Genomic DNA, 22,789 nt, shown 5'->3' on the forward strand with positions numbered 1-22,789 from the left:
TTCCACATCCGTGGATTCAACCAACCACAAATCAAAAATATTTTTTAAACAACAAAAATAACAATACAACAATAAAAAAATACAAATTTTAAAATACAGTATAACAACTACTTACATAGCATTTACATGGTATTAGGTAACGTAAGTACATCTAGAGATGACTTAAAATATAGGAGAGAATGTGTATAGATTATATGCAAATGCTATGTTATTTTATATCAGGGACTTAAGCATCCATGAATTTCGTTATCCACCCGATGGGTGGGGTTGGGAATGTAGGTGGCTCTGAAATCAATCCCCCATGGATACTGAGGGACGACTGTATTAGTAAATTTAATTGTTAAAGAAAAGCAAAAAAAAAAAATCCAGATTATTATGTGAAATGTCCTTGATTTTGAATGTTGGCTTCTAGTTCAAAAATTTTTTATAACCCCAGGAATTCAAAGAAACCTGCCTAGAAGCCAGATGCAGCTTGTCATTTATCAATGTGTGCCCTTTGCCTTGGAGACTCCTTCTCCATAGTGGTCTCCAAGCTCAGAATTGGGACTTAGACACCTTGGACAAGGAGGAAGCCCTCCTTTCTTGTAAACATCTGCTATGTTACCTTTGCTGTGTTAGAATTTGTGTAGAAGGACCCAGAGCCCTAGTTGTTTTGCCTAGAGGCTATGAACAGGTGAGTGATTTCCAGGCTGCATTATTCAAACATTCCCATGACACTATTATTATTTAGTGATGTATTTGTTTGCTTCTCTTCCATGGGAGATGGATGCTGACTATATATATATTCCATATATTCCAAGTCTCCAATTAAGCTGCTGTGGGATCTGATATGTCTTCCTACCTCTTTGATCTTAGGTTCCTCAACCGTAAGATGAGGGGTTTGGACTAGGTAATCCCACTTGACTATTTTAATCTGGAACTCTATGGATTGAATTTCAATGTAACCTATTGTGCGGCTACCTTCTAGGAGGTCCCAAGTGTAGGCAGGTTGGAAATTACTTTATGATATACTAAAAGTCTGGCTGTCTTTCCTATGTCACCTCTCGACTCTTAAACTGAGATAACAGATACAATTTACTTTTATTTACTTTTCGGATTTCAGTACTGTTTTTCTCCCTAGTGGTGTAAGCTTCCCATATGAAGGGAAAAAATGGCCCTAAAATATCCACAATTCTTAGCTTTGAGTGTTATAGGTGAATGCCTTACCTGATAAGAGATCATGACAGCCAGATGACTGATGAATGGAGACAACTGATGTCTACATGAATCTCACTACATTTTTTTTTTTGAGACAGTTTTGCTCTGTTGCCCAGGCTGGAGTTTAGCCTGGCGTGATCTCGGATCACTGCAACCTCTGCCTCCTGGGTTCAAGCGATTCTCATGTCTCAGCCACCCGAGTAGCTGGGATTACAGGCATGTGCCACCTTGCCCAGCTAATTTTTCTATTTTTAGTAGAGATGGGGTTCCACCATGTTGGCCAGGCTGGTTTCAAACTCCTGACTTCAAGTCATCTGCCTGCCTGGACCTCCCAGAGTGTTGGGATTACAGACGTGAGTCACTGCCCCTAACCTCACTTTGTTTAGATTCGGAATTGTTCTTATTCTACTCAGTTTTTAGGATTGACCCATACCTTTGCCATGGGTATGTGACCATAGGAATACTCACTTGAAGGCATTTCACAGAAACATTTAATTTGCCCCAACTGCTTGACTTACAATAGGCTTAGTTGCTTTAGGAAATAACGTGGCATTTCTGTAAGTGCCCTCATTCCTGCAGTATTGTAATAGGCCTTTCCTCACTACAATTCATTCTCCACACAGTAGCCAGAGGATTTTCATCTGTTTGCTTTTGTTTTGTTTTGTTTAAATATAAATAAGATTATATAACATCTGCTACTTAAAATCTTCCAAGGACTTCCCATCACACTCTGAATGAAATCCAAATAGAGTATCCTAAAAGGCCCTACAGGATCTTGCCTCTTATTAATTTTATCTCATGACATTTCTTATCCTTTTGATCCCAATTTGAATGTCTTCTGCCCAGAAAAATCTTCCCTAAACCTATCTTAAGCAGTGTCCACTCTCAAATATCTGTATAAGAAAACCCTACTTAATTTCTTGATAGAGTTTTCTTTTCTTTCTTTTAAAATTTTTAATAATACATATTTTAACCCAGTGTATCACAAATACTATCACTTTACAACCTAATCAGTACGAACAATTATTTTTATTTTATTCTCATATTTTGTGGGTACGTAGTAGGTTTATATATTTATGAGTTACATGAGATATTTTGATACAGGAATGCAATGTGTAATAGTCAAATCAGAGTAAAGGGGTATATCTGTCCCCTCAAGCATGGGGCATCCTTTGTGTTACAAACAAGCTAATTATACTCTTTTAGTTATTTTAAAATGTACAATTAAATGATTTTTTTTTTACTATAATGAAGCTGTTGTGCTATCAAATGTTAGGCCTTATTCATTCTCTCTATTTTTTGTACCCATTAACCATCCCCACTGCCCCCCGACCCACTGACATCCCACCATCCTTCCCTGCCTCTGGTAACCATCCTTTTACCTCTATCTATGTAAGTTCAATTATTTTAATTTTTAGCTACCACAAATAAGTGACAACATGTGAAGTTTGTCATTTTGTGCCTGGCTTATTTCACTTAACATAATGACCTCCAGTTTTATCCATATTGTTGCAAATGATAGGATCTCATTCTCCATGTGTGACCTTTGCCTTGGAGACTCCTCCTTAGTGGTCTCCAAGCTCAGAATTGGGACTTAGACACCTTAGACAAAGAGGAAGCCCTCCTTTCTTGTAAACATCTGCTATGTTACATTTGCTGTGTGAGAATTTGTGTAGAAGGACCCAGAGCCCTAGTTGTTTTGCCCAGAGGCTATGAACAGGTGAGTGATAAATGTCTTTTTAGCTCTTTTGCCCATATGCACCACATTTTCTTTATCCATTCATCTGTTGATGGACACCAGTTACTTCCAAATTCTGGCTATTGTGAATACTGCTGCAATAAACATGAGAGTGCAGATATCTCATTGATATACTGATTTCCTTTCTTTTGGATATATAACCAGCAGTGGGATTACTGGATCTTATGATAGCCCTACTTTGTTTTCTGAGAAACCTCCAAATTGTTCTCTATAGTGATTGTACTAATTTATATTCCCACCAACAGTATATGAGGGTTCCTTTTTTTCCACATTCTCACCAGCATTTGTTATTACCTGTATTTTGGATAAAAGCCATTTTAACTGAGGTGAGATGTTATCTCATTGTAGTTTTGATTTACGTTTCTCCGATTATCAGTGATGTTGAGCACCTTTTCATATGCCTGTTTATCTTCTTTTGATAAATGTCTTTTCAGCTTTTTTGCCCATTTTTAAATTGGATTATTAGATTTTTCTCCTATAGAGTTTTTTGAACTCTTTGTATGTTCTGATTATGAATCCCTTGTTGATGGGTAGTTTGCAGGTATTTTCTCCCATTCTGTGAGTTGTCTCTTCACTTTGTTGATTGTTTCCTTTGCTGTGCAGAAGATTTTTTTAACTTTATGGCACCCCATTTGTCCATTTTTGCTTTTATTGCCTATGCTTGTGGGGTATTGCTCAACAAATCTTTGCCCAGTTCAATGTCCTGGAGACTTTCCCCAATATTTTCTTGTAATAGTTTCAGATCTTAGACATAAGCCTTTAATCCATTTTGATTTGATGTTTGTATATGGTGAGATATAGGGTTCTAGTTTATTCTTTTACCTGTGATATCCAGTTTTCCCAGCACCCTTTATTGAAGAGACAGTCCATTCCCCAATGTATGATCTCAGCACCTGTGTCTAAAATGAGTTCACTATAAATGCATAGATTTATCTCTGGGTTCTCTATTCTGTTCCACTGATCAGTGTGTCTGTTATATGCCAGCAGCACACTATTTTGATTACTATACCTCTGTAGTATAATGTAAAGTCACATAATGTGATTCCTTCAGTTTTATTATTTTTGCTTAAGATAGCTTTGGTTATTCTGGGTTTTTGTGGTTCCATGTAAATTTTGGGGTTTTTTTTCTATTTATGCAGAGGATTGTCGTTAATATTTTGATAGAGATTGCATTAATATTGTAGATTGCTTTGAGTAGTACAAACATTTTAACAAAATGTATTCCACCAATCCATGAACACGGAATATCTTTCCTTTCGTTTCTGTCTTCAGTTTCTATCATCAATGTTTTATAGTATATATTGTAGAGATCATTTATTTTCTTGTTTATGTTAATTCCTAGGTATTTCATTTTATTTGGAGCCATTGTAAATGAGATTATTTCTTGATTTATTTTTCAGAATGTTCATCTGTTGGCATGTAGAAATGTTTTGGATTTTGTATGTCAGTTTTTTATCCTATAACTTTACTAATTTTTTTTAATCAATTCTAATAGCTCTTTTTCTGGAGGCTTTAGGTTTTTCCAAATATAAGATTATGTCTTCTGCAAACAAGGATAATTTGTCTTTTTCCTTTCCAATTTGGATGCCCTTTAATTCTTTTCTCATCTGACTCCTCTAGGTAGGACTTCCTGTACCATGTTGAATAAAGGTGAAATTGGGCCTCCTTGTCATGTTCCCAATCTTAGAGGAAAGTATTTCAGTTTTTCCCCATTTAGTATGATACTTATGGGTCAGTAATTAATGACTTTTATTATGTTGAAGTATGTTTCTCCTACACCCAGTCTTCTGAGGATTTTTATTATGAAAAGATGTTGAATTTTATCAAATACTTTTTCAGCATCAATTGAAGTGACCAAATGGTTTTTATCTTTCATTCTGTTGATATGATGTATCACATTAATTGATTTGCATATGCTGAACCATCCCCACATCTGTGGGATAAATCCCATTTGGACATGATGAATTATCTTTTTAATGTGTTGCTAGTATTTTGTTGAGGATTTTTGCATCAATATTCATCAGTGATATTGGCCTATGGTTTTCATTTTTTGATGTGTCTTTGTCTGGTTTTGGTATCAGGGTAATACTGGCCTCATAGAATGAGTTTGGAGTATTTCTTCCTGTTCTATTTTTCAAAATAGTTTCAGTAGAATTGATATGAGCTAATCTTTAAATATTTGTTAGAATTCGACAGTGAAGCCATCAGGTCCTGGGCTTTCCTTCCTGGGAGACCTGCCCCCCGCCCCCGCACCTCGCCCCCGAAACCAAGTCTCACTCTGTTGCCCAGGCTGTAGTGCAGTGGCATGATCTCAGCTCACTGCAACCTCCACCTTCTGGGAGAGTTTTAATTATGGCTTTTGTCTCATTACTTGTTGGTTAGTCTGTTCAGGTTTTGGATTTCTTCCTGATTCTGTGTTTTTCCTTGTCCTTAATATTACCAGTGAGTTGTGTACCTTCAGATGATTTCTTATTGCTCATTAATGTCCTTTTCTTTCTGATTGAAGTACTCCCTTTAGCATTTCTTGTAGGATGAGCATGGTATTGATGAAATCCCTCAGCTTTTGTTCATCTGGGAAAGTCTTTATTTCTCCTTCATGTTTGAAGGATATTTTCACCAGATATACTATTCTAGGGCAAAAGTTTTTTTCCCTTCAGCATCTTAAATATGTCATGCCACTCTCTACTGGCCTTTAAGGTTTCTACTAAAAAGTCTCGTCAAAGATATTGGAACTCCAGTGTATGTTATTTCTTTCTTTTCTCTTGCTTCTTTTAGGATCCTTTCTTTATCCTTGACCTTTGGGAGTTTAATTATTAAATGCTTTGAGGTGGTCTTCTTTGGGTTAAATTTGCTTGGTGTTCTATAACCTTCTTGTACTTGGATATTGATATCTTTCCCTAGGTTGGGAAGTTCTGTGTTATTATCCCTTTGAATATTTCTACCCCTATCTCTTTATCTACTTGCTCTTTAAGGCCAATAACTCTTAGATTTGCCTTTTTGAGGCTATTTTCTAGATCCTATAGTTGTTGCTTCATTGTTTTTTATTCTTTTGTCTCCTCTCTATGCATTTTCAAATAGGCTGTCTTCAAGCTCACTAATTTTTTCTTCTGCTTTATTCTATTTAATTGTTTCAATCTCTTAGTTAACTTACGGGATTCTGAATTCCTTCTCTGTATTATCTTGAATTTCTTTGAGTCTCCTCAAAACATATTTTGAATTCTCTTTCTGAATGGTCACATATCTCTCCAGGATTGGTCCCTGGTGCCTTATGTGGTTCATTTGGTTTGGTCATGTTTTCCTGGATCGTCTTGATGCTTGTAGATATTCATTAGCGTCTGGGCATTGAAGAGTTAGGTATTTATTGTAGTCTTCACAGTCTGGGTTGGTTTGTATCCATCCTTCTCAGGAAGTCTTTCCACATATTCAAAGGGATTGGGTGTTGTGATCTAAGCCATCTCTGCATTAGGGGACACCCCAAGCCCAGAAGCCCTATGGTTCTTGCAGACTTGTAGAGGTTCCACTTTGATGTTCTTGAATAAGATCCAGAAGAATTTTCTGGATTACCAAGCAGAAACTCTTGTTCTTTTCTTTTACTTTATCCCAGACAAACAGTCTCTCTCTCTGTTCTGAGCCACCTAGACCTGAGAGTGGGTTGACACAAGCATCCCTGTGGCCACCACCACTCGGACGTGCTAGGTCAGGCCTTAAACTAATACAGCACTGGATTTCAGCCAAGAACCGCTGTAACCACTACCTGGCTATTGCCAGTGTTCACTCAAGGCCCTGGGTCTCTACAATCACCTGTTGGTGAAGCAAGCCGTACTTATGTCTTTTCCTTCAGGGCAGTGAGTTCTCCTAGGCCCTTGGTAGGTCCAGAGATGCCATCTGGAAGCCAGGAACTCTAGTCAAAACTTAGAAGTCCACCTGGTGATCTATTGTACTGTGGCTGAATTGGCACTCAAACCATGAGACACAGTTCTTCCTAGTCTTCCCTTCACTTTCCACAGCCAGAGGAGCCTCACCCCTTGGCTACCACTACCATAGGCTTACAGGGAGTACTTCCAGGCTACTGCTGATGTTCCCATAAGGCCCAAGGCCTCTTTATTCAGCTTATCGTGAATGCTGCTTGGCCTGGGACTCACGCTTGAGGGCAGTGGGCTCCCCTCTGGCCCTGGGCAGATCCAGAAATGCCATGCAAGAGCATAATCCTGGAACTGGAGACCCCAATATCCTGCTTGTGCTCTATCCTTCTGTGGCCAATTGGTATCTAAGGCACAAGACAAAGTCCCCTTTACTTTTCTTTCCACCTTTCCTCAGCTGGAGTGTCTCCCCATAGCCATCACAGCTTGGGAATGTGCTGAGTCTCATCTGAAGCCAGCAAGTCTCAGAGTCTCATCCTAGGCCCATGGTGTACTACCTAAGTTTTGCTACTGGTTATTCGGGGACCAAGGGCTCTTTAGTCAGTAGGTGATGCGTCCTGCCAGAACTGGGTTCTTCTCTTCAAGGCAACAGCTTCCCCTGTGGCCCAGGGTGTGTCTAGAAATGTCATCCATGAGCTAGGTCCTGGAAAAGAAGCCTCACGACTCTGAATGATGCCCTATCCTACTGTGGCTAAGCTTGTATCCAAGATGCAAAACAAAGTCCTTTTTACTCTGCCCTCACCTCTCCTCAAGTGGAAGGAAGGGGTCTCTTTTGAAGCTGTGAGCTGTGCATCCTAGGGTTGGGGAAGGGGTGGTGCAACCACTGCCTTATCTGATCCAGCTGATATCTTAATATATCATATGCTCCCCGCAAGTCCACTGGCTCTGAGCCCAGTTCATCACTAGGACTCACCTAAGACTTGAAGTCCTTGTGGCCTATACTGCCTTTCAAGTTAATTCAAGGCCCCAGAGCACTTTATCTCATAGTGGTGAGTCTTCCCAGAATTCAAGTTCTGACTTCTGGGATGGGCGATTCCCTTCTGGCTCTGACTGGTTTAAATATTCCCTCCATGGGTGGGAGTCAGCAGAGTTCAGCATAGTTTTGCTTTCTGCTGTGACAAGGCAGCACTGAATTTAATGCAGTGTCTCACAAGTGCTGTACTATCCCTGTCTGAAGCACACAGATTCTCTCTCCACACCATGTAGGCACTGCAGAAGGATGGGTGAGGGGTGGTGTTGGTGATTCAAGACTCTTTCCTATCCTCTTTCAGTGCTTCTTTTAACAATATGAAGTTAAAACCAGGTACTGTGAGTGGTCATCTGATTTTTCGTTCTTTTTTTTTATTATTATACTTTAAGTTTAGGGTACATGTTTACAACTTTCATTCTTATGAAGGTCCTTTTTTGTGTAGATAGTTGTGAAATTGGTGTTCTTGTTGGGGCATGATTGGTAGAACATTCTATTTGGCCCCCTTGCTCTGCCCCTCTTCTCCATTTATTTTTCAATTGTATAAGTTTAAAGGGTACAAGTGCAGTTTTGTTACATGGATATGATACATAGTGATGAAGTCTGAACTTTTAGTGTAACTAAGGAAGTTTTTTAAAGTAGGGAGAATAACGATCATATGAGAAGGAGCAAGCTATGTAAAAAGCGTGGCAAAAGACTATTCTTGGCTAGTCAGAGTACAAAACTAGTGAGATGGGAATAAGCTTGCCTTGTTCTAATAACTGATACTAGTTCAGCTTAGCTAGGACATATTGAGCGCAGCAGTGGGTGGAGAAAGCATTGAGGTGCAAGAGTGGAAGGGGTAAGATCAGTTAAGAGGCTAATGAAGCAATCCAGGCAAAAAATGATGACAGCTCAACTAGTATGTTGCCAGTGGAGATGGAGAGAAGGAGGTACATTGATGATTAAGTGGATGTTGGTGACTCTAAGGTTTCTGTTTTGGGTGACTGGGTGAATGGAGGTGCCATTTATAGAGCTAGAGAATTTGCCAATAGTTACACAGGTAGTAAATGGGTAAAGCCCCATAGGATTAGACATTTGTACCTAACCTAGGTATACTTTTCTCTATTGCTAGTATTCCACAGGTTCCCTGGGACTGAGGCAGCGACAGAAATGCCTGATTCATTGCCCTCCAAAGATTGTGATTCATTGTTAAGGGTCCTAGAGAGTGCCGTCTCTGTCTTTGGTAGATATTCTTCCAGCAGAGAGCCATAAGACTCTTTGCTTATCTGCAAAGACCAGGCATGCAGTGCAGCACTTCATCTCCCCTGAGTTTGCAATCATACAAAGCAGGAAACACAGATATAACAGTTCTTGTTAAACATACTGTGTTCATACTGTCAAGTCCCAGTATATTTACAATGGCATCACCCATTTTCCCAGGCTCCAAATGTATCATTGATTCTTACCATTATCTTTTTTTTTCCCCAAGTCAGAGTCTCACTCTGTTTCCAATGCTGGAGTGCAGTAGCACAATCTCGACTCACTGCAGCCTTGCTCTCCCAGGCTCAAGCAATTCTCCCACCTTAACCTCTGGAGTAGCTGGGACTACAGGCACATGCCACCACACCTGGCTAATTTTGTTTATTTTTTTGTAGAAATGAGGTCTCACTATGTTGCCCAGGTTGGTCTCGAACTTCTGGACTCAAGTGATCCTCCCGCCTCAGCTTCCCAAAGTGGTTGGGATTATAGGCATGAGCCATTAATATTCTCTTATGTCTTGAGTTATTTGTATTTAAAGTTCTATTATTTCTTTCTAATTTTGAATAGCCTTTTTATTCATAATGGCTAAGACTATGTATTGTGAAACTAGTGTCTTGATTTGACATCTCAATCAGCTACTCACTGCTGAAAGTTGCTTCGCCCCTCTTTACCTAAATTTCCCAATCTTGGAATTTTAATAGTGTAAAATACTTAAAATAGTATCCAGCATATAGTGAATACTCAATAAATGCTAGGTTTTATTAATGTTTTTCTTTCAATTCCAATCTCGCTGTCACCTCCTTAGGTTTTGTTCTTATATTTATTATTGATTCCTTCATCAATTCAATGAAAAATTAATTTGAGCTTTATATGCCAGACAAATAGATTACCCCAGTAGGCTCCTAGTCATTGTAGTCCACCTTATACAGCATGGGTAAATAATTTTAATGTACAACTTTGACCAAGTCATTCTTGAGTTAAACAGACTAACTTTTAGACTAACTTTTAGTCTGTTTTATTATTGTTTTAAAGTTCTCTATTGTCAATGCATCCCCATTATTGCTCACACCTAGGACAGACTGCTCTCACACACACCCCCTTGGGTATATCATTGCCTTTTATGCTTAAGTCCAAATTCTCTTTTTAAAAATAATCCCAAGTTTTTCATCTGTCTTTTATAATAAGGATCATCTCATAATACTCTTGTAAGGATGTTCCATGCTCCAAGACAGCTGACCCTATATGTACCATTCACTGCACTGCCTTGCCAAGACCTTGCCACCAGCTGCCTGGGTTGCTTTCTTCATCTAAAACCTGCCCATACCTCCATATTTGTGCCTTCACAGTAACCCAGAGGTTATTAGCTAGCCTTGGAACTTATATCACACTTACTTATTTTTTTGAAACAGAGTCTTGCTCTGTCGCCCAGGCTGGAGTGCAGTGGTGTGATCTCAGCTCACTGCAACCTCTGCCTCCCGGGTTCAAGCAATTCTCATGCCTCAGCCTCCCAAGTAGCGGGACTACAGGTGTGCACCATCACACCCGGCTAATTTTTGTGTTTTTAGTAGAGACGGGGTTTCACTATGTTGGCCAGGCTGGTCTCGAACTCCTGACCTCAAGTGATCCATGTGCCTCAGCCTCCCAAAGTGCTGGGATTACAGGCATGAGCCACCGCACCTGCCATGTCACACTTACTATCTTTGTCACATAGTTAATATATGTGCTTTATATTATGAATTCTTTCTCTGCATATATACTTTGTTCTTTAATTCAAATGATAAGTTGATGGAGATTACAAGTTGTGTTGTATGATGTTCATTGGCACAAACAGGAGCTTGTTCAATGATAATACAAGGGTAAATGCTTTTGAAATAGGAAAATGGGCCTCACTGCTGAATTCCTTTACAATAATTTGTGTGTTCTAGAAATGAGCTCTGATCACCACAGGGTGTCACTGCCTTACAAGTCAAATTTTCCTCAATTGGTTGAGGTGTATATAGGAATTCTCAGAAGACATTCTTGAGAGATCACAACAAAATGTATAGATAGCAATGCAGCCATTGGGAGATGTGGAGATGCTATAAAATCACATAGAACAAAAAGTGAAAATTTAATTTACACACTCTAAACATCCCCTGAAATCCTATTCTTCTTCCCTCTGTTAACAATTTGTTGTATAGCCTTCCAGATCTTTCCTCCTTGGAGAGAGAGAGACAGAGAAGGACAGGCACAAGATTTAGAAAACATAAATGAGATCCTACTCTCCGTGAGCATGTGTGTGTGTGGTTGTTCAGTATCTTTTTTAATTTGATAACATTTCATTTGCCATCTTTTTTGTCTCATTACATCCAGCTTTATCTCATTCTTCTTAGCAGCTAATGCAGCTATTTCTGAATATTGAAATGATCAGTAATTGATGTCTTTAATCTTTGAAATGTTTGCCTTGATATAGTCCAAAGCTGTGATTCAGACTGGATTTCATTCTGTTGCTCATTATGTGAACACTATACAGTTAATTAGCAAACACTTGGGAGGGTTGGTAGGTGGTGTGTAGTAAGTTGGAAAACAGTTTATGCAAGCCAGATTGCCACCAGAATTTAGAACAGCATAAAATTAAATGCCCTAGGTAATTTACAGGGAGTAAAGGGGAAAAGACCGAGAGAAAGAGACTGTTAGAATACCAATGCATTTTTGTGTCTGCATTATTGTTTGTTTCTGATTGTAAAATAATACATGCTCATTGTAGAAGATGGGAAACAGAAAAATGTATTAAGAAGAAAGCAAACATTACCCTAATCCTACAACCCAGACTTATCCACAGTTAATATTTATTGTTGCTCATATAGCTTATTTCCTTTTTCAAAATTTTTATTATATGATACAACATTATGATTTTAAAGCATTTAAAACAGTACAAAAGGGTATAAAGTAAAAATGAAAAGTTCTCTTCCCACCATCCCTGGTCCTCACTTTCCACAAAGTCATTCACTGTTAACAGTTTCTCTCATAATGTACATTTAAGTGTATTGATATTGGCTTTATTATGAGTATACAAATGTATGGTGTGTGATCTATATACCATAATGGGGTCATACTGCGTTAATTTTTTTATACTACTTTTTTTCCATTTAGCTTTCTATCTTGAGCATACATATCCTATATATAATTCAAATACAACCCAAAGATTCTGGGCATGGAGCTATTTCAAAAAGTTTGACCTGACACTGCCCCCCATGCCATTACATGCCCTTGAGTTTCTAACCTTACACAAAAGACCTGTAGCCTTAGCTGAGGGCCCTTTCCAATGAATCACACATTCATCCTGTGTATATATGGCTCTATTTTATTTTATTTTATTTATTTTTTTGAGACAGGTCTCGCTCTCTCCTAGGCTGGAGTGCAGTGGCGCAATCTCGGCTCACTGCAAGCTCCGCTTCCCGGGTTCACGCCATTCTCCTGCCTCAGCCTCCTGGGTAGCTGGAACTACAGGCGCCCTCCACGACGCCCAGCTTATTTTTTTCATTTTTAGTAGAGACGGGGTTTCACCGTGTTAGCCAGGATGTTCTCAATATACTGATCTCATGATCCGTCCGCCTCTGCCTCTCAAAGTGCTGGGATTACAGGCGTGAGCCACCGCACCGGACCATATGGCTCTATTTTAGACTGTTTGGTAGGAGATATTAGAGGAACGGATATTATAAAGTGCCAAAGACCTGAGTTTAGATCCCAGTTGTATTGGTTGCTAGCTATCTTTTAAAAATAAAATGTTTTGAACAACTTTGTGATATATTTTTATCCTTTAGAGATGAGAAAACAGAGACCAAGCCAGGGAGAAGTGATTATATAAGATCACACAGCTAGTTTGTAGTAGAGCCGGATCACACAAAGGCCTATTTGAACAAGAGGCTATGTGCTTCCCACTCTAACATCTTGGACTTTCTTTAGAACTCCTGTAGGTAACAATGTATTGTATTATTGAAAATCAATGAGAGAGTAGATTTCAAGTGTTCTTACCACAAAAAAAGATAAGTATATAGGTAATATGTATGTTAATTAACTCGACTTAGCCATTCCACAATGTATATACATCTCAAAACATCATGTTGTACATTTATACAGTGCTTCTCAATCAATTAATTAACTTAAAAGATTTACAGGCATATGCCTTCAAGGTTATTGCCTAGCCTTTTCACTAAAGCCTTGATACGAGTTATGTATTCTATTATCTTTCTAGTATCCGATCATCCTCTCTCTGATTCTCTTTTTTTTGTCACATTCCCTTTTTAGGAGAGAAGCCTTATAAATGCACCTGGGATGGCTGCTCCTGGAAATTTGCTCGCTCAGATGAGCTCACTCGCCATTTCCGCAAGCACACAGGCATCAAGCCTTTTCGGTGCACAGACTGCAACCGCAGCTTTTCTCGTTCTGACCACCTGTCCCTGCATCGCCGTCGCCATGACACCATGTGAGCCGCACAGGTCACACTAGAGAAGCTGCGCTGGTATCTTTCCTGGTCGTGTGCTGAGGTTGGGACAATTTTTTCCTCTTTGACTTCAGCTTGCATATGGGGTTGAAGCAGCCCACTGAGCCAAGTTGAGGAGACTGGAGGAAAAGAGAGCTGGTCTCCCGTGGGGCTCTTCATATTCTACCTTCACTTCTCCACTGTCCAGACCCGTTTTTTTCAACCTCCACATGGGTTGAATTCCAGTGTGGCACCCATGGCTGCCTTCCCATCCCCCCCTGCTCTGAAATAGGACATTTTTCCTACAGTAACAAAACAGGAATCAAACTCAAGGCTGTGAACAAACATACGCTGCTTTATTCTTTCCAATTTTTCTCTTGTTTTCTAGAACTCTTATCCATATGTTTTTAAAATAAGTACCTAAAAGTGGTTTGATAGTGTCCTAAACGACTTTTTTAACTTCCTAAATGGAAAGAGCATAACAATGTAGTTGATTGGTAAGATTTACAGGGATTTGGTTTCTGAGTTTGAGGCACATTCCCAGTGAATAAGCTGAGTCCCATACCACACTCAAAAGGTTTTAATAAATCTAATCCTATTTCTTCTTAAAGTTTGGTTTTCAGACAGTGCTGGTGCTTCTGCTTCTTAAGTTCATCAAGGGAATGAGGAGTTCTTGTCCTTCTCCTCCTCTTTTTTTTCTTTTCCACTTTCTCCTTCAGGATTAAAGATTTTGCTGCACAATTGTTATTTGTTAGGTTAAATTTGGACAAATATTCAAAGCACACATAGACATATAAGTAAGGAGAAAAATGTTCCAGGAGAGTAGGTTGGGCAGTGACAGGAACAAACAGACCTAGGATGATCCTGAGAACAAATAGAGGGGTTCCTTTACTTGTATAGGATATCAAAAGTGCTGTTAATCACAAACCTCATTCAAATGGCAGGCTGTCGAGACAGTGTCTTGAGGGGCTGGCTGTACTGTTTATTTTTTCGTTTACACAAAGAAGCAATTGAGTATATTGCATGATGAGAAATCACACACTAGGGTCATGTTATACAGAAGTAAGGGGTTGGAAAAATGGAATGTTGTTCACTCCATGGAATTATTGGCATTCATTCCTGTGTTTCAAATGAAACATAGATGCTTTTCATGAAAACTGACCTACAAAAAGCAATTTGATGTTCTGCAACTGCTATGAAAACCTAAGCCATTTATTTTAGCTGATAGCAGATTGCATAATATACTCATTTAGCTGCCCAATCAGATTGTTTTATAATATTACCTGGGGTACAAAATCCTCTGTTCCTGGCCCTGGACCACAGATCTACCTCCACATGGCATATTTCCTTTCTGGGGTCAGGGGTAGGGGAGGGGGCTTTGCATCACTTGAATTTAGACTCAGCCTCTCTTTAAAAGATTGTCTTTATATTGAACACCTTTTTCTTTTCAACCCTGCTTGAATACTTTAGGTTACTATTTCCTGAGGCTGTCCATTCTCACTATATTGTAGAATTCTAGCACCAAGAAGGGATCCCGTTAACCATCTAGTCCTATCCATCCCTCATATTTTACAGATGAGACAAATACGGGTCAGATTTTTTTCTCCAGATGTTTCTTTGAGCCCTTATACACCTGCACGCTTATTCTCCTGGGGATCACATAATTTTATTTATTTATTTTTTGAGAGACGGTTTCACTCCATCACCCAGGCTGGAGTGCAGTGGCGTAATCTTGGCTCACTGCAACCTCCGCCTCCTGGGTTCAAGTGATTCTCCTGCCTCAGCCTCCCAAATAGCTTGGATTACAGGTGCGTGCCACCACACCTAGCTAAGTTTTGTATTATTAGTAGAGATGGGGTTTCGCCATGTTGGCCAGGCTGGTCTCAAACTCCTGACCTCAAGTGATCCCCCCACCTCGGCCTCCCAAAGTGCTGGGATCACAGGTGTGAGTCACCACACCTGGCCAGGATCACATTATTAAACCAAATTAAAGTTTATGTGATTGGTTGCAATATTTGTCTAATTTTATATGTTTTCTTCAGGAAAACTTTAGAACTCAAAAATCATTTACAGCTGATTAAATAGCAAGTAAAATGTACTTGTGGTCATTGCCGTATAACATTAGGCACACGCTTCTAACACTTCTATAATATCTAGATTTTATTTACCTCATTTTAACTTGCAATGTCTGTCTATCTCATGAACTCTCCATAAATCCAAGAACTGCCTGTAGTTTTCAAAATGACATGTGGGTTTTTACTGTTATCATTGTTATTTCGATAGGGCTTTTTCCTGATTTTGGGTATACAAGTTCCAAACTTGCATAATAATTGCTAACGCACTAGGCGATATCTAGGGCCAGTCTGTTAAAGGGGACCTCTAATGTAGCTATAAGACAGGTTGGTAAAGATGAACTAACATAAGTTTAAGCTAATAATTCAGTAGTTGATGCAGTATTTCACAGTAGAGCCCGAGCTTACTCATTTTTTTCAAAATTTGGATCCTGATACTCCTTTTTCAGAGTTCAGAACTGAACTGCTCCCCTAAGACCTCAGAATCTTTTGCATTGAGACATATGATCTATTTATAAATAAAGGTTATCAAATATCTTGTTGAACTAATTAGGTTGATCAAATTAGGATCCCAAATATTGGGGTCCCTGACATCTGAGCCTTTATCTAAAAATGTTTCTGTAACATAATGACAGCCTTTATGTTTGTTAATTGCCTATAGTAAAGAAGCAATTTTAAGCCTATTCTCATTTCCCTCTCCCCTACAAAAAATGATAAAAGCTTTCCAATTACTTACATATGCTCTAACAAGTGTCTCAGGATTCATTAACAGAATTTTATAGAGTACAGTAATTCAAATATAGCACAGTACAGAGTTTACCAAAAACACATAAAACTTTGCTAGATAGACAGTGAGGTGGAAAGGAACTAAAATGTATCTCTCTTGAATAGCATTTGGGGTTCAATTGAATTTGTTGTGTTTACAACAGCAAAGCACCGTTAGCCTGGACAGTTGCTTATGGCATCGATAGGGTTGGATAATATTCTGGGATTTGTTGCAGCAGAATTCCTCTATCTGATGATCAGCAGTTGAACATAAACTTCATAATTATAGTAAAATTTAGGAAAAACTATGAGTGTGAAGAGTATGAACTGATTGGGTAGATTAGGCAGAGTGCATTATGGGCAAGACAAAGGTTTTCGATATTAACTTCTTTTAAAATAAACTTTTTATTTTCAAACAGTTTCAGTTTTACAGAAAAAATGTGAAGCTAGTACAGAGAGGTCTCATTTACCCCACACCCAGTTTCTCCTGTTATTAGCATCTCACATTAATATGTGGTATATTTGTTACAATTAATAAAACACATTGATATGTTAATATTATTAACTGAAGTCCATACTTTATTCAGGTTTCTTTAGTTTTTACCTAAGATCCTTTTTAAAGAATTGTTTCGGCCAGGCACTGTGGCTCACACCTGTAATCCCAGCACTTTGGGAGGCCAAGACGGGCGGATCACGAAGTCAGGAGTTCGAGACCAACCTGGACAACATGGTGAAACCACGTCTCTATTAAAAATACAAAAAATTAGCCAGGCGTAGTGGTGGGTGCCTGTAATCCCAGCAATACTTGAGAGGCTGAGGCAAGAGAATTGCTTGAACCTGGGAGGCGGAGGTTGCAGTGAGCTGAGATCATGCCACTTCACTCCAGCCTGGGTGACAGAGCGACACACTTGATCTCAAAAAAAAAAAAATTGTTTCAGCATCTTGTTCAGGATTCCACATTACATCTAATAGTCATATCTCCTTAGGATCCTTTTGATTGTGACAGTTTCTCAGACTTTCCTTGTTTTCAGTGACCTTGACACTTTTGAGAGAGATTTTCCTCAACTGGGATTTGTCAGTTGTCTTTCTCATGATTAGACTGAGGTTATGAGTTTTTGAAAGTAGGACCACGGAGAAGAAGTGCCATTTTCATCACATCATACAGGCATACTTTGGAGACAATGCAGATTTGGTTCCAGATCACTGCAATGAAGCAAATATTACAATAAAGCAAGTCACACAAATTTTTTGGTTTCCCAGTGCATATAAAATTTTATGTTTACACTATCCTGTAGTCTGGTAAATGTGCAATAGCATTATGTCTAAAAAACAATGTACATACCTTATTTTAAAATACTTTATTGCTAACATGTTACTGGCACAAACACGAAGTGAGCACATGCTGTTGGAAAAATGGTGCCAATAGACTTGTTGGTCACAGGGTTGCCACAAACTTTTAATTTGTAAAAAATGCAATATCAGCAAAGTGCAATAAAGTGAAGCACAATAAAACGAGGTATGCCTGTATTTACATGACTCATCACTGTTGTTTAACCTTGATCACCTGGCTGAAATAGTTGTTGTCAGGTTTCTCCCCTGTACTCTTTTTTTCCTCCCCTCCATACTGTACTCTCTGAAAGGAAATCACTATGTGCAGCCCATGCTTCTGGAGTGGTAAGTTATATGCCACACCCTTCAGAGCATGTATCTTACATAAATTATTTGGAATTATTCTCTAAGGGAGATTGTCTCTTCTCCCCCATTTATTTATTTATACAATACTTTATTTATATCAGCATGGACTCATGGGTATTTATTTTATACTTCGAGTTATAATCTAATACTACTACTTTATTTTATTGCTCGAATTGTTCCAGCTTTGGCCATTGGGAGCTCTTTTGGGTGATTCTCAAGTTCTTTTGACACACCCCCATCATTTTTTTTTAGCACGTCCTTACTTTCTGCCACTGCAAGATCTTCCAGGCTCATCTTGTATATTTTGTGGCCTACTCCTATAATCAGCCATTTCTTCAAGAAGTCCTGGTTTCTTTTACTGGAAAATTGTATTAGAAACCAATATCTGGGCATTAGGTATGTTCATTGTTACTGGGCTATTGTTGCTTCTAGGGTGTCTCAGCTAACAGCAAGGAAACATATGTGTGTATACTATCCTATGTATATGCACATTCTATAAATATTTCTATATGTAATCACCCAGATTTTTATTTAGCTAAACATGAGTTCATATTGATGTTTTCAACTCTAACCTGTTACCACGTGAATCATTCTAGCTTCTTCCTGTTAGTTACATGAAGCCTCCCACACTAATACTGAGAAACCTGGCTCTCAACCTCTGTCATCTATTTACTTAATTTTTCAAATTCAGTGTGCACATATAGCAGTATCTGAATTGTTAACCTGTATACCCATGGGAAACAACTTTATCAACTACAGCACAGTGTGTATGTACATAAAAATAGTAATATTTTTAGAACTCCAACAGCTCTTTGAAACAAAGTGGTCTGCAAAATTCTGGAATTAGGGATTTCTGTGATCTGAGTTCCAAGATTCTGGGGTCTATCCTGCCCCCAAAAAGTTTTCTCATGAACCAAACCATCAAGAATGTACCTAACCTTAAATAAGCCAAGGGAACTTACTGATGCTCCACAGTTTGCTAATTCTTGTATGAGGTACTGTAGAGGGATGGATACAGAAGGAACTGGGTGGGCCAAATTTAAATAAACACATAGCACTATCTTTTCTCACTGTTAAATATGGCTCTCTGACAACAGTGATGCTACCCTGAGTTACCTCTCTTCTGTATTTTCCCAGATCTCACTTGGTTGACCTTAGGCAAGTCATATCACCTCTCTGTGCCTCAATTAATCCATTTGCAAAATGGGGATCTCAATATCTACCTCACAGGAATGTTGTGAGGCTTCTCATAAATTGATTTTGGCAAAAATGAAAGATCTTTAAGTGAACAACCAAGTATTATAACCATTGTTATAATGATAGTTATAGTACCTTATATTTACCCTATGTAAAAGAGAAGATTAGGCTTCCTAGGTGATAAACAGATAAATTTGAGTAAGAAGGATAATTAAAGAGTGGCCACTGGAAGCAATATTATTTATTCTCTTACTTTCACTTTCCCTATATCTTCTTTGTTACTAACAATACGATTATCATCTGTTTCCATACTTGAAATGTATTAGGACCTAAAGGAAGAGGTAGGCAAAATTCATTGCTTCAGAAGCTGTATTCTTCCCCCTTTGTAACTCTGCTTGGACCACATTCCATGTCACATTCTCAGAAGCACAAAGGCAATTTTCCAGAGCCCTTTAAGCTTTGGCCAGTTCAGTTTCACCACTTATATTTTCTCTTTCCCAACTTACTTTACTCTGAATAGTATAGGTAGGAGGAGGGAAGTTGGGTAGGGTGGTTGGGGGTGGGAGTGGGTTGGAAGAGGATGGGATTTATACCAGTGGCAGGATATTTCTCTGTTTTCCAAACACTGGTTTTAATTTCCATTTCCTTTTCTGGTGTTGGGGTGGGGTCAGGGGAAGAGATACTATTTTGTTAACTGTTAAAAGCTCTCCTTCCTTTCCTAGAGTCGCTACAAGTAGCTGTGTTGGACATTACTTTATAACTATGCTGTATGCCATGCTGTTTTCATTGTATCACAGAATTAAAAGGGGAAGAGAGTTCCTAGTGGTGTCCATCCCTGTTTTTTGACAGGCAGTCACACAGGTGAGCAGTGCCAGAAACTGGTTCTCTTTTTTGTGTTGGGGAAAGGAGCCTGCAGTGAAAGGATCAGTTGGATTTTTTGTCATTGTTAGTTTGTTTAAATAAATTATAAGACAGTATATTAAGCTTTAGTCTCTGTAACTCTTATGTTTGTGCCCCATTATTTTAGTGCTTTAGAGCAACACCTTGTTTTTCCTCTATTTTATACTAGTTCTTGCTCCAGAGGCATGGCTTTGAGGCTAGAATCATGAGCAATCTCTCATAAACAAGTCTGTTATGCACCTGGAGATACTCAAGATTTGCCTCTGTTAGCATGGCCACTTAGAGATTACTCTGTTCTACTTCAGAGACCCTCCACTATGGCATCCATGCAGGGTGTGTGCTTGGGGACTAAGCAATCTTGTTCAGTTTAATTATTGTACTTTTTTATTAATAAAAAGGTCTTAAACTTCAGAAATCATGGCCATTTTCTTGACTTTGTCTCCAATCTCTGTTTCTTCAGCATGACAAGAGTAGATCACTTTTTTCCCCCTAGCTGGGTAAAGTTGTGATGAAGCTACTATGTAGTATCATGGGATAAAAAATGAAGCCAGGTTGTCTTAAACATGACAGTTTCTCTGTTTAATCATATAAGGTCCTCCCCATTTTGGGTAATGTATTCAGCCGTGTCCCTGAATGGAGCTTCATGAAGGCTTTGTGCTCCTTTTGTGTATTTCCTACAAAGGATTTGATAAGAGTTTGTTGGATACAGATTCAGTTGGCTAGATTTTGTTGCTCAGCTCTGTTCTCCTCACTATTTTGTTTGTGTTTTCCTAAGATGTAAGGAGGGAAAGGAGGGTGTTTGGACAGCTTTAAACCTCAAAGCCACCGCAGTAAAAATTCTAGCCCTGAGTGAAGATGTCGAAGTTGCCTGACCTTTCAGAGAAACTCTGGGAGAAAAGTAGAAAGAGGGAAATTCTGTGCTGGAGATTGAGGCCAAGAGCAGGAAGAACAAATTAAAAAGTGACTGTTCCTGGGCTGCCAGAATGAGATTTTCACTACAAATGATAAAAATAGGAAATCTCATCATTTTTTAAAATCATTTCTTTATTCTAAGAGCCAATGTCATCCCTTTCGGCTATAGGCGTTCTCAATTCCATGCTACCAGTATTGACTAAAAACCTACCAATAATCCAGTCTCCTTTCTGGTTGCTATGGAGATGAATAAAACCCAGCTCCTGCTCTAAAGAAATTCACTCCCTAGTGGAAGAGACCAGCATGTGAAGAAACACAGTAGTTTTTTAAGTGTTATCTTGGAGATATGTTTAATATTTCCAAAGACTAAAAACATGTGAACAATGAAAGATACCATAAACAAAATTTAAACATAGCTGCATATATAATGCAGGATTTCTATCCAGAATGTATTTTTTAAAACCCTACAAACCAATAACAAAAATACAATATACAGGATATTATCCAGGAGAACTTCCCCAATCTAGCAAGGCAGGCCAACATTCAAATTCAGGAAATACAGAGAATGCTACAAAGATACTCCTCGAGAAGAGCAACTCCAAGACACATAATTGTCAGATTCTCCAAAATTGAAATGAAGGAAAAAATGTTAAGGGCAGCCAGAGAGAAAGGTCAGGTTACCCACAAAGGGAAGCCCATCAGACTAACAGCTGATATCTCGGCACAAACTCTACAAGCAAGAAGAGAGTGGGGGCCAATATTCAACATTCTGAAAGAAAAGAATTTTCAACCCAGAATTTCATATCAAGCCAAACTAAGCTTCATAAGTGAAGGAGAAATAAAATCCTTTATAGACAAGCAAATGCTGAGAGATTTTATCACCACCAGGCCTGCCCTAAAAGAGCTCCTGAAGGAAGCACTAAACATGGAAAGGAACAACCAGTACCACCCACTGCAAAAACATGCCAAATTGTAAAGACCATCGAGGCTAGGAAGAAACTGCGTCAACTAATGAGCAAAATAACCAGCTAACATCATAATGACAGGATCAAATTCACACATAACAATACTAACCTTAAATGTAAATGGGCTAAATGCTCCAATTAAAAGACAAAGACTGGCAAATTGGATAAAGAGTCAAGACCCATCAGTGTGCTGTATTCAGGAAGCCCATCTCATGTGCAGAGACACACATAGGCTCAAAATAAAGGGATGGAGGAAGATCTACCAAACAAATGGAAAACAAAAAAAGGCAGGGGTTGCAATCCTAGTCTCTGATAAAACAGACTTTAAACCAACAAAGATCAAAAGAGACAAAGAAGGCCATTACATAATGGTAAAGGGATCAATTCAAGAAGAAGAGCTAACTATCCTAAATATATATGCACCCAATACAGGAGCACCCAGATTCATAAAGCAAGTTATTAGAGACCTAGAAAGAGACTTAGACTCCTAGACAATAATAATGGGAGACTTTAACACCCCACTGTCAACATTAGACAGATAAATGAGACAGAAAGTTAACAGGGATATCCAGGAATCAAACTCAGCTCTGCACCAAGTGGACCTAATGGACATCTACAGAACTCTCCACCCCAAATCAACAGAATATACATTCTTCTCAGCACCACATTGCACTTATTCCAAAATTGACCACATAGTTGGAAGTAAAGCACTCCTCAGCAAATGTAAAAGAACAGA

The 22,789-nt window shown here is 38.8% G+C and overlaps 1 protein-coding gene across 17 annotated transcripts in view; it reads left to right on the forward strand.

Annotated features, from left to right (window-relative positions):
- KLF8 (KLF transcription factor 8) overlaps positions 1 to 20,591 on the forward strand; it is a 383,409-nt gene extending 362,818 nt beyond the window's left edge. For all 17 annotated transcript variants that reach the window (NR_136705.1, NR_136704.1, NM_001324105.1 and 14 more), the window contains one exon: positions 13,373 to 20,591. Coding sequence is in view for 15 of the 17 variants with exons in the window: in NM_001324105.1 (NP_001311034.1) it covers positions 13,373 to 13,554 (182 nt within the window). In the remaining 2 variants the exon portion in view is untranslated. The remainder of the gene's footprint in view (positions 1 to 13,372) is intronic.

Source organism: Homo sapiens, chromosome X, assembly GCF_000001405.40.
Source record: "Homo sapiens chromosome X, GRCh38.p14 Primary Assembly".
Lineage (NCBI taxonomy): Eukaryota > Metazoa > Chordata > Mammalia > Primates > Hominidae > Homo > Homo sapiens.